General features: G+C 39.9%; 1 protein-coding gene and 1 long non-coding RNA gene across 31 annotated transcripts in view; one reads left to right on the forward strand and one right to left on the reverse strand.

The window, feature by feature from the left end:
* Positions 1-12165, forward strand: part of HERC6 (HECT and RLD domain containing E3 ubiquitin protein ligase family member 6) — a 64246-nt gene that overhangs the window by 48728 nt on the left and 3353 nt on the right. For all 5 annotated transcript variants that reach the window (XM_005263083.5, XM_011532053.4, NM_017912.4 and 2 more), the window contains 5 exons: positions 1001-1171; positions 3583-3726; positions 8146-8312; positions 9326-9392; positions 10132-10202. In XM_005263083.5, the coding sequence (XP_005263140.1) occupies positions 1001-1171; positions 3583-3726; positions 8146-8312; positions 9326-9392; positions 10132-10202 (620 nt within the window). The remainder of the gene's footprint in view (positions 1-1000; positions 1172-3582; positions 3727-8145; positions 8313-9325; positions 9393-10131; positions 10203-12165) is intronic.
* Positions 1-12165, reverse strand: part of LOC102723458 (uncharacterized) — a 56224-nt gene that overhangs the window by 16097 nt on the left and 27962 nt on the right. For 2 of the 26 annotated variants that reach the window (XR_001741762.2, XR_938974.3), the window contains exon 1: positions 10096-10253. The exons of 22 other annotated variants lie outside the window; for them this stretch is intronic. This is a non-coding gene — a long non-coding RNA (uncharacterized LOC102723458). Of the gene's footprint in view, positions 1-8887; positions 9259-10095; positions 10257-12165 lie in introns of those variants that run through there. 2 more of the 26 variants (XR_007058185.1, XR_007058183.1) reach the window with 2 other exon arrangements.

Genomic DNA, 12165 nt, shown 5'->3' on the forward strand with positions numbered 1-12165 from the left:
TAACAGACAAATTTCTTAGTATATAATGGTGGCAGATACCCAGGGCAGGGATTTCCCAACCCCAGGGCCATATGCACACTTCTCTGAAGTGCTTGTAGAGAGTGAATGTGGGCAAACACACCCAGCCTAGGAACCTGGGGTAGGATAGCTATTATCCTCTGGTCTTGCTGTCACGATTTCAGGACAGGCCCTATGAGGGCTACATTGGTTTGAGTTCTAAATCCTCATTTATTGTCCTTGTGATGTAACTGAAGCCCTTGAGGAGTGCTGAAGGTCAAAGCAAGGATAGCAAGTCCAACACTAGATTTCTAATCTAAAGAAGTTCAACAGAAACAAGATCAGAGATTAAAATAGTGAGACAATGTTGAGAATTCAGAAAAGCTAAAGAGAAGTACTTAGGGTGATCAGAAAAGCTAAAAGAAGTACTATTTAGTGTGACCAGGAGTAATGTTAGATATAAAATGAGGCCACCTGTGGCATATTCTTAAAGAGTTCCCATGGATGGATCATAGTTATTGGAAAGAGAAGAGTGGATCTTCTCTGAGGAAGTCTGTCTTCTGTCTTTTTCCTACAGCTCACATTATCCCTGAGCTCTTATACTGTCTTTATATTCCTGAGGATTACAATGCTAATGCTCTGTGTCTTAAGACTGATGGTGGATGAATGTCTCAGCATGTTGAATACCAGTATGGCCTTTAAGGATGATGTTTACTATAATAAATAATCTGAGATAGCTTTTAATAACTTAGCTGTTCATCCATGCTAACTAATCTCCTGTACACAATTCCTAGGTAACCATAGTTTCTTTGGTCCTACAATCACTCCACCTTCCATAAGGCAGATATGTTGTCTGTTTTCTTAAATAATTACAATGTGAATGTTTATAGCAATGGCAGGATTAAGTATATACTACACAAAATGTTTATTGGAAGTATTAAACAATCCTTGGGATTCCTATGAGGTCAAAAGGAGAAGCCAACTAAAAAATTTATTTTTCCAGATGTCAGAAAAGAAAGCATACATGCTTATGCATGAAACAATTCTGCAAAAAAAGGATGAATTTCCTCCATCACCCAGATTTATACTTAGAGTCAGACGAAGTCGCCTGGTTAAAGATGCTCTGCGTCAATTAAGTCAAGCTGAAGCTACTGACTTCTGCAAAGTATTAGTGGTACAGTAAAAAGTCTCATTGAACATTTTTACTTCTGTGGGAGGGATGCATTCATATGATGTAACAAATGCTCTCTGAAAAGAGCCTGCATTTGCCTCTATGGTTATCAATCTTTTGGTTTCCAGAATTCCCCTCTTACCCTTCAGAGAATAGCAATAGGATGCTTAACTGCACAGTGGGCTATGAGTTAACTATTAGTTACTGATGACTACAAAAATGCTGCATAATGAAACATCCCAAAACGTAAAGGCTCAAAATGACAATAATTTATTTTACAGATCTGCAGTTCAGTGGAGGACCTGCTGATCTAGGCTGAACTCATCTGGGTGGCTTTGCAAATTTTATCTGAGTTTGTGTACATGTCTGGGAGTTGGCTAGGGACTGGCTGACCTAGGCCTGGCTGGAGCAATTTAGCTCTGCTTCCTATGTCTTTCATTCTCCTCCTGGGGCGAGCAAGCATGTTCTTCCCACAGTAGTGCCAGAGGTGCAAGATAGCAAGACCAAACATTGCTTTAGTCAAAGCAGTCATAAAGCTGAACCTAAGTCAAAGGCTAGGGAAATATACACAGCCTCTTCAGTGGGAGGAACTGCAAAGTCATATGCAAAAGACATGGATCACAGAGGGGTGAAGAATTGGGGCTATAATGCAATCAAACTGCTAGAGGAAGGGATACTTTTCCTACATGTTGGCTCTAGTTTCATCACTTAAGACCTTCCACTAAAGACCTTCCACTATATGAGTTTCAATGCTAGCCATCCTTCCTTTTATCCTTTGTGGGTGCTTACAGGGTTTTTATTGTGTAGTAACTCAGGTTATTTGCCCTCTTGAGGCTACAGAATAATGACTAACTCTGTAGGTAAGAGCTGGAGTCTGTCCAGAAGGGAGTGGATTTTCTCGATGTCAGCCATGAGAGGAAGAGTTGGGCTGTTAGAGAAGAAATCAGAACCTGGGAAGTGGGATTCAGATAAAAAAGGGATTTTCCCAGCATGTGACTCCAATGGAAAACAAAAACTACTTTATAAACCAGGCTTTCTAGTTGTATGTCTCCCTTCATACCTATTTTTCTTTAAATCTTAACTGTAAAGGAATCAGTAGAAAAGTATTCCCCTTATGAGAGATGACCAAGGGGTAAAAAAAAGTAAACTTCAAGCCAGATCAAATAAAAATACAGACTCTGAACAAGGGCAAGGTTGTCAGGGCCCATCATGAGTGAGTCTTGACACGGACAGACTTGCTAGTATAAATGAGCAGAAATAGGAAAATCAGAAGTAGGCTTAATTTGTTATTGAGATATTCAGAAGGGAAAGTGGGGCAGGCCCTTAAACATGATGGTCTATTGATCGAAGCAGCAGTAGATAAGATTACCCAGGCAAAGAGAGTAGAGAGAGAACAAAAATCTAAGCAACAAAAATTAGAGGTGCTTATCATTAAAAGATAAAAGTAAATTACCCAAAAAAGGATGTAGAAAAGAAATAGTTAAGAGACATGGGGGAAAACCAAGATAGTACATAGCCATAAAGTCCAAAGGTAGAGAAAGCTTTTAAAAAGAGGGACTGGGGCCAGGTGCGGTGGCTCACACCTGTAATCCCAGCACTTTGTGGGGGCCAAGGTGGGCGGATTACCAGCTGAGGTCAGGAGTTTGAAACCAGACTGCCCAAAAATACAAAAACTAGCTGGGTGCGGTGGTGGGTGCCTGTAATCTCAGCTACTCGGGAGGCTGAGGCAGGAGAATGGCTTGAACCCAGGAGGTGGAGATTGCAGTAAGCTGAGATCGTGCCATTGCACTCCAGCCTGGGCAGCAGAGTGAGACTCCATCTCAAATAAATAAATAAATAAATAAATAAATAAATAAATAAATAAAAAGAGGGACTGGTTAATGCTGATTTCTCATTTGAGAGCTATGGGCAATCTGCTCTGCTGGTTCCTGCAAAGGTCTCATGCCCAGGCAGACTGGGAGGGCTGTTTTGCAGAAGCCCAAATAAGAGTAGAGACAGGAGAAACCAAATACTTGTTGACTGGAGCCAGCCAAGGTTGTGAAGTCTGAATGATGAGATGGACAACAAGATAGAATAATCAGGGAATTTAGGGGCCCACGGGTTTGAAGAACATCAAAATTTGGTTTGAGATACTGGTCAATGTAACTGGTGAATGCTAAGTCTTGCTAGAGTCCCCCTTCACTTGGTCCATGTAGCAGTGTAAAGGATGCACACAACAATCTGAGAATAAATAGATTCATGGCCTTCACTGCTCAGCAGCAAACTGAGGGAAGACAGATTGCAAGGAGGTAAGGGCTATGTGATTCTAATAATTCTAGAGACTGCAAGAATGGTCGTTAGAGGTTTAAAACTTCCATAAAGCTCAAAACATTGTATTTTAAGTCAGGATCTGGGACTATGTTCTCTTTCCTTAGGTTGAATTTATTAATGAAATTTGTCCTGAGTCTGGAGGGGTTAGTTCAGAGTTCTTCCACTGTATGTTTGAAGAGATGACCAAGCCAGAATATGGAATGTTCATGTATCCTGAAATGGGTTCCTGCATGTGGTTTCCTGCCAAGGTAAGTCTTTTCTTTTTTTTTTTTCCCCCAGAACAGAAAAGGCACCCCATATACTGCAACATTAACACCATAGATAGTGGTGTAAAATTAGGTCATATAGAGCTTTGCTACTCATATTTTGAGTAGTACTCGTATGGTTCACAGAGCAGCAGCTATGGCGTCACTTGGGGAGCTGTTAGAAAAGCAGAATCTGAGGCCCTACTCTACACCTACTGAATCAGAGCATGTATTTTATAAGATCCTTAGGTGATTCACATGCACGTTACATTTTTAATGGTTTTAATAAATTATACTTGAGAAATAATAAACTGCATATATTTAAGGTGTCCAGCTTGGCTCAGCCTGGTGGTTCACACCTGTAATTCCAGGATTTTGAGACACTGAGGTGGGAGGATTGCTTGAGTAGCTGAGACTACAGGCGTATGTCACACCAGGCTAATTTTTGTATTTTTAGTAGAGACGGCATTTTGCCATGTTGGCCAGGCTGGTCTCAAACTCCTGACCTCAAGTGATCCACCTGCCTTGGCCTCCCAGAGTGTTGGGATTACAGGTGTGAGCCACCACGCTCAGCTGAATCACCTTTTAAGAATGAAAAATTATCTCTAGGATTCTATCAGTCATTTCTGTCCTAATTTAAAACACTTTAGATTACTGCTTCTCAAAATTTAGGAAATAACCTACATATCCATCAGTAGGAGAGCAGGTAAACAAATTGTAGTACATGCTGAGCATCCTGTAATCTGAAAATCCAAAATCTGAAATGCTCTAAAATTGGAAACTTTTTGAGTGCCAACATGATGCCACAAGTGGGAAATTCCACTCATAAGTATTTAATACGAACTTTGTTTCATGCACAAAATTATTTAAAATATTGTTTGAAATTACCTTCAGGCTATGTGTATAAGGTGTATACGAACTATTAATATAAATGAATTTTGTGTTTAGACTTCGGTCCTATCCCCAAGATATCTCACTGTGTTTATGCAAATGTTCCAAGTCTGAAAAACTCTGAGATCTGAAACACTGCTGGTCCCAAGCCTTTCACATAGGGATACTGAGCAGAATCTCAGTATCCCTTTTTTGAGACTCCGGCTCAAAAAAAAAAAAAGAAAAACAAAAACAGGTGATTCATGGCCAGGTGCGGTGGCTCACACCTGTAATACCAGCACTTTGGGAGGCCGAGGTGGGGGGATTACTTGAGGTCAGGAATTCGAGACCAGCCTGGCCAGCCTGGCCAACCTGGCGAAACACTGTCTCTACTAAAAATACAAAAATTAGCCAGGTGTGGTGGTGCGTGCCTGTAATCCCAGCTACTTGGGAGGCTGAGGCAGGAGAATCACTTGAACCTAAGAGGCAGAGGTTGCAGTGAGCTGAGATTGCGCCATAGCACCCCAGCCTGGGCGACAGAGTGATACTCTGTTTCAAAAATAAAAGGTGCTTAAAAAGGAAAAAAGAAAAATAAAAAAGGTGATTCATGTCTGTAATTATTATATTTTTGTAAAGGTCCTTAAAGTATAAACATTTTCTTTCTTAAAGTAACAAAAAAATTGAGGCAGGCGGATCACCAGGTCAGGAAATCGAGACCATCCTGGCTAGCATGGTGAAACCCTATCTCTACTAAAAATACAAAAAATTAGCCGGGTGTGGTGGCACGAGCCTGTAGTCCCAGCTACTCGGGAGGCTGAGGCAGGAGAACTGCTTGAACCTGGGAGGCAGAGGTTGCAGTGAGCCAAGATCGCACCACTGCCCTCCAGCCTGGGTGACAGAGCGAGACTCCATCTCAAAAAAGAAAAGTAACAAAAAAATTTGTCTTCATTTCTGTATTAGTAACACAGATCATTTAATCTGTGTATGAAATTGTAATTTCATACAATATTTTAAATAATTTTGTGCATGAAACAAAGTTCGTATTAAATACTTATGAGTGGAACTTCCCACTTGTGGCATCATGTTGGCACTCAAAAAGTTTCCGATTTTAGAGCATTTCAGATTTTGGATTTTCAGATTACAGTTCTAAAAAGAATCACATGTTGAGCTTCTATTGTGTTATGGTTTGAATGCCCCACCCTCCCCGAAATTCATGTTAAAACTTAATCCCCAATGTGGTAGCCTTGAAAAGGTGTCCTTTAGAGGTACTTGGGTCATGAGAGTTCTGCCCTCATGAATAGATTAATCCACTCATGGATTAATGAGTAATGGATTAATGGGTTATCATGGGAGTGGAACTGGTGGCTTTGTAAGAAGGGGAAGAGAAACCTGAGCTAGGACACTCAGCCCCCTCACCATGTGATGCCCTGTGCAGCCTCAGGACTCTGCAGAGTTCTCATCAGCAAGAAGGCCCTCACCAGATACAACTGCTCAGTCTTGGACTTCCCAGCCTCCAGAACTCTAAGAAATACATTCCTTTTCTTTATAAATTACCCGGTTTCAGATATTCTGTTATAAGCAACAGAAAATGAACTAAGGCATATTTATTAGTCCCCTTTCCCATAAACTTCCAAATTGTTCTTCCAAATGGCAGAAAGGACAGGCAGGAGGAGGAGAAAGATGAATACATGTGAAAAAATACTGAAAGGTGTTTTGTATCTTTTCGAGAACAAATGGACCCTCTAAAATATAGGAATGGCTAAGGTGTGCCAATGGTATGATTTTTTGTTGGTCAATCAGCAAGCATTTATTTAATGTTTCTTGAGGTTCCTACATTGTATTAAATATTGTGGGATATTCAAATTATTACATGACATAATCCCTTTCCTCCTGAAACTCTATAGATGTAGTTGTAGCAATAGGATCAACACACCAGAAACTTTACCAATTGGCTCTAAGTTATAGATTGCTGACTTAATATGTAATAGTTTTTGAGAAGCATGACAGGATGGGGAAGGAAGCACTGATGTGGGATCAGAAGCCTAGAGTTCTAATCTTCAGTGATGGTGAGTGTGTCATTTAGCCTCTCTGAGATTTCGGTTTCCTCACCTAGAAAATGGACGTCATAATTTCTGCTCTGCCTGCTTTGCAGGGCTATTGTGAAAACAAAACAAAGTAAGGTATCTGAAAGTACCATGAAGGCTTTAGGGCACTATACAAACTTAAGGGATTCTTGGTTAGGAGAGAAAGAAATCAAGAGGGGACTGAAGTGATTGCATTTGAAAGTATAATGGAGAGGCGAAGGCCTGAGGTTGAAGGTTAAGGAATGGGATGAAATGAACTAAAGAGACACAGGTTGGGGATGGAGAGGAGATGGGATGAAATGAACTAAAGAGACACAGGTTGGGGATGGAGAGGAGGTACCAACCTTATGAGGTACAGATGAAGAAACTGAGGTTTAGAGAGATTAAATAAATCAGCCAATGACAGAAAACTAGTAAGTGATCAAGCCAGGATATGAGTTCAGGATTGTCTAATCCCAGAGCTCTTACTCTTAAGCATTATGCTATACTGCTGGATAAAAAACAGAGACAAAAAAAAAAAAAAACCAAAACAAAACACCCTGATTTGTGTATGGCTCAGTGAAGAGATGAAATCAGCTATAACCAAGGGACATATTACAAATTATGGGAAAGAAGACTGATTAGGTTTCAGGGGACCCCTTTGTCGATTACTTGTATTGTACTTAGAACTTACTTTCAAAATTTAAATGCAATTTTAGAATTTATTTTCACAATTAAATAAATAAATATGGCAACTAGACTGTACCATAGAATATTACGTGAGTGGCCCAAAGTCATGCACCCACTAACAGTAAGGTTGGCATTGGAATTGAATCCCAAAATTTTCAGGCTGTTGATCTACTGTGCTGCAATCATGGCCTGGATAGATGGAGCCAGTGTTTTCTCTCACCAAGGACTACAAGTGCAGACAAGACATGCCAACTTCACCAGGCCTCTTTCCTTCTTCCCCTTCTTTCTTCTACCTACCTTCTTGGTCCCTAGCGTCAGTCACCCTCCCTGACCCATATGCTCATCCCTCTAAGCACACCCAAGTTGTGGGGCTGCATTGCCAAAGGGGCTGCCACTCATGCGAGGCTCATCTAATATGCCTGGTGACCAATAAATGTATAAAGTGCACCCTTCCTTTCTCAGTGTCATTATTCTACATGAATCTGAAGGGAAAGACTATAAAATTAAATTGTGAAAACCTGAATATATAAAGCTGTCTGAGCATATTTTTTAACGTTCCAGATAAAATGAATTCATTTATTTAATGTTCTGAACTATCAATTTGTATTCAAAATTATGGAAGAAATTTAATGTATTATAATCTGTAGAAGAACTTCACATTTTTATTTTCCGGAAGCCCATTTTGTTTTTAATTTTTGACTTTCAGAAAAGGGAACCACATTTTTTTTTACTAATCTAATTATCCCTTTGTATTACTAATTATTTATAATACCTTAGGGATTTTTTTCTTCTTTTCTAGCCTAAACCTGAGAAGAAAAGATATTTCCTCTTTGGAATGCTGTGTGGACTCTCCTTATTCAATTTAAATGTTGCTAACCTTCCTTTCCCACTGGCTCTGTATAAAAAACTTCTGGACCAAAAGCCATCATTGGAAGATTTAAAAGAACTCAGTCCTCGGTTGGGGAAGTAAGTAAATATAACGTTTTTTCAGGACCGTATCTAGTAAGTCTCAGTTGTTTAGGCATAAATAATCTTACACACAGAGAGACAGATATGGTCTTCAATTTCAATAATGTATGCTCTTGAGAGGAATTTGAATTTTAGCATGATTTATAATTGAGTAAACCTTCAAAATGGAGGAAAGCTGAGTGTTCCTCTAATTATTAACAAGTGGAAGAAACAGGAGTTCTGGCCTGGTCTCTTGACTTTATCCAGGTGGAAACAGTTGCTTCAGAGAGCACAATATATATGTGCATCATCACACATATAAATATTTATGACTATACAAGGGTGTGTGTGTTTGTGTGCATGTAAGTCTAATAAAAAAACTGAAAATATGCTCACCCTAACTAGTAATTGAGGGAATAAATAAAAATGAGATATCATTTTTCTACTTACAGATTGACACTTGTTAAAAAGTTTTTCTTACAGTGTTGGCAAAAAATTGGGGGAAAGGACTCTCTTCTCGTGTACTGTTAGTGTGAGAATATATTGGCTAGATGTGTGCTGGAGCAGGGGTTCTCAGCCTTGGCAATACTGACCTTTTGGCCTGTTTAATTCTTTGTTGTGGGAGACTGTCCTGGGCATTGTGGGATGTTTAGCAGCATTTGGGGTCACACCCACTGGATGCCAGTAGCAACCTTCCCTCCAAGTGTGACAACCAAAGATGTCTCCAGACTTTGCTGAATGACCCCTAGGGGACAAAGTCATCCCTGATTCAGAATCACTGTCTAGAGGAAACAGCTCATTTTTGTAATTTCCATGAAGATGTAGCAGTGTCTATGTAGTAACAATGGTCCAACAAATCAAACTGTAAATAGAGGCAAACTCTAGGGAAAGGGAATGAGAAGATGGAGGATAGGAAATTTATATTATATTTTATACATTTCTATATTGTTCACAACTTTTTCCATTGAAAATTACTTGTGAAACTTTATAAGATCAATAAATATAATTTTTAAAACCAAAATCTTCATTAGGAGTTTGCAAGAAGTTCTAGATGATGCTGCTGATGACATTGGAGATGCGCTCTGCATACGCTTTTCTGTGAGTACTAATGAAAGCCAAATTATAGTTTAGCTTTAATCTGTTTCTAAAAAATAATTTTTATTATAGTATCTTAAATTTGGGATCCCTTTTTTTTTTTATTGAGGCAGAGTCTCACTCTGTCACCCAGGTTGGAGTACAATGGCGCGATCTCGGTTCACTGCAGCCTCCGCCTCCTGGGTTCAAGTGATTCTCCTACCTCAGCCTCCTGAGTAGCTGGGATTATGGGCATGCGACACCATGCCTGGCTAATTTTTGTATTCTTTGTAGAGATGGGTTTTTGCTATCTTGGCCAGGCTGGTCTCTAACTCCTGGCCTCAAGTGATCCACCTGTCTCAGCCTCCCAAAGTGCTAGGATTACAGGGATAAGCCATTGTGCCTGGCCCCTGGGATCCCTTTTTTAAAAGACATTTTATTTCTGTACCGCAAGACTTTCCCCTTATCTTCTTCTCATGTCTATATACTCTCAAATAAAGTGAAGCTATGGTGATTATTCAACTAGTGTAAATAATTTAACAACTAAACGATAATTTAGGCATGAAAGTAATGTACAACATGTACTAGGGTAGGCTTTTTTGCTTTCACATGTATTTAAAAGGCTGAACTACATAAAAAATTATTTAGCTCCAAGTTATTTTCAGTTACATAGGGGAAAATGTATTGGCAATAAAGATATTATGGGTGGTTGATTATTCAAACTTACTTTGATATTTGGTACCTGAATACATTTTGGTTACAGATACACTGGGACCAAAATGATGTTGACTTAATTCCAAATGGGATCTCCATACCTGTGGACCAAACCAACAAGTAAGTTTTGACAGCTAGAATATCTGTTTTGAATATACTGTACATAAAATGTTGTATCACTATTCTTTTAAAATGTATTTTTAAATATGGTTCACACCTGTAATCCCAGCAATTTGGGAGGCTGAGGTGGGTGGATCACTTGAGGTCAGGAGTTCAAGGCCAACCTGGCCAACATGGCGAAACCCCGTCTCTACTACAAAAATTAGCCAGGTGTGGTGGCACATGCCTGTAGTCTCAGCTACTAAGGAGGCTGAGGATTGCTTGAACCCAGGAAGTGGAGGTTGCAGTGAGCCGGGATTGCGCAACTGCACTCAAGCCTGGGCAACAGAGTGAGACTGTGTCTCAAAAAAAAAAAAAAAAAAAAAAAGCATTTTAGCTTCTCAGGTGATTGTTTTAGCTCCTAATCTTTTAGAAAAAAGAAGCTTTTAAGATAAAAGAAAAGGAGAAAGAATTCAGGGTTCAATATTTCCTTTGTAGCTCTTTTTACTATTTATTCATTTAGCAAATATTTTTGAGCCCCTATTCTGTACCAGACTCTATTCTAGGTGCTGGAGATACAGTAGTCAAAAAGACAGACAAAATTTGGAGCTTAAATTCCAGTGGGGCAGAAAGACAATACACAAATGAATCATTATTATTTTTAATAGAGATGGAGTCTTGCCATGCTGCCCAGGCTGGTCTCGAATTCCTGAGCTCAGGCAGTCCTCACACCTCAGCCTCCCAAAGTACTGGGATTACAAGGGTGAGCCACCGCACCTGGCCACAAATGAATTATTATGTAATATAATGTCAGATAAGGATGAGCACTCTGAAGAAAATTAAAACTGATTAAGAAACTAGGGAGTTCCAGGTGGTGGTATGCTGGAGCTCACTAGTACCAGCTTGTGAGAGCTGATTGTTAAATTTTCAAAAATGTTAAGAGTTTATTATCAAAGTATTAGTAGCTGAAAATCAGCCACAGTGGGAATATTAACACCACAGAAATTCGCCAATGCTGCAAATGTGTGTCCCCTCCCCTCCCACTCCTTTTCAGAGAGCTGGTTGTTAGATATTTACCAGCACACCAATGGTTACAGGGGAAGGCAGACAAGAGTTGATTTAGATAGGCTAGTCCACAAAGGCTGCCCAAAGTGTGGGAGACAATCATGTCTCTGATGGAAATGCCTCCAGTAGCAACCCTGCCATCAGGAAATTAATCATTTAGTAGAAATTACATCCTGTAGTATAAGACAGACCTTGCAGGAATAATTTTCACAAAGTGACATGTGTTGTGAGAGGGGACAAGCAAAGGAACAAAAGGATCAACCCTGAGAAAGTCTTACTTATATTGAAATCTAATGGATGGTAGAAGTTATCAGGTAAAGAAGAAATGCTGCATTCTGTGGCCTAACTACAAAAGAGAGACAAGACCTATGAACGGGGCCAGAAGTGAAAATGGAAGTGGGAGCTGGGCACCATGGTGCATACTTGCAGTCTCACCTACTCAGGAGGCTGTGGCGGGAGGTTCGCTTGAGGCCAGGAGTCCAAGTCCAGCCTGGGCAACACAGGGAGACCCCATCTCTTAAAAAAAAGAAAGAAAAAGAAAGGAAAGAGAAAGAAAGAAGAAAGAAAGAAAAGGGAAGGGAAAGGGAAAGGGAAGGGAAGGGAAAGGAAAGAAAGAAAGAAAGAAAATGGAAGTGGGAAGAGGCCCCTTGCTGAGACTGGCAAGGTCAGATAATTGAGGGAGGAGCTAGGCTTGGGAAGGCCTGTTGATCCCTGCTAAGGAGGTTTGGAATTTACCCCAAGGGCAATGGGAAGCCTTTGAAAGACTTTAAGCAAGAGAATGACATATTCAGATTCATGTTTTAAAAAAATCCTCCTGACTGCAGTGAGGAAAGTGAGCCAAATAGTTTTAAACCTTCTGATTATATTTTCTAAATTTCTTTCTTCTAGCTGACCAGGTTTTGGTCACAATACAACATTC

The sequence above is a fragment of the Homo sapiens genome, chromosome 4 (genome assembly GCF_000001405.40).
Source record: "Homo sapiens chromosome 4, GRCh38.p14 Primary Assembly".
Taxonomy (NCBI): domain Eukaryota; kingdom Metazoa; phylum Chordata; class Mammalia; order Primates; family Hominidae; genus Homo; species Homo sapiens.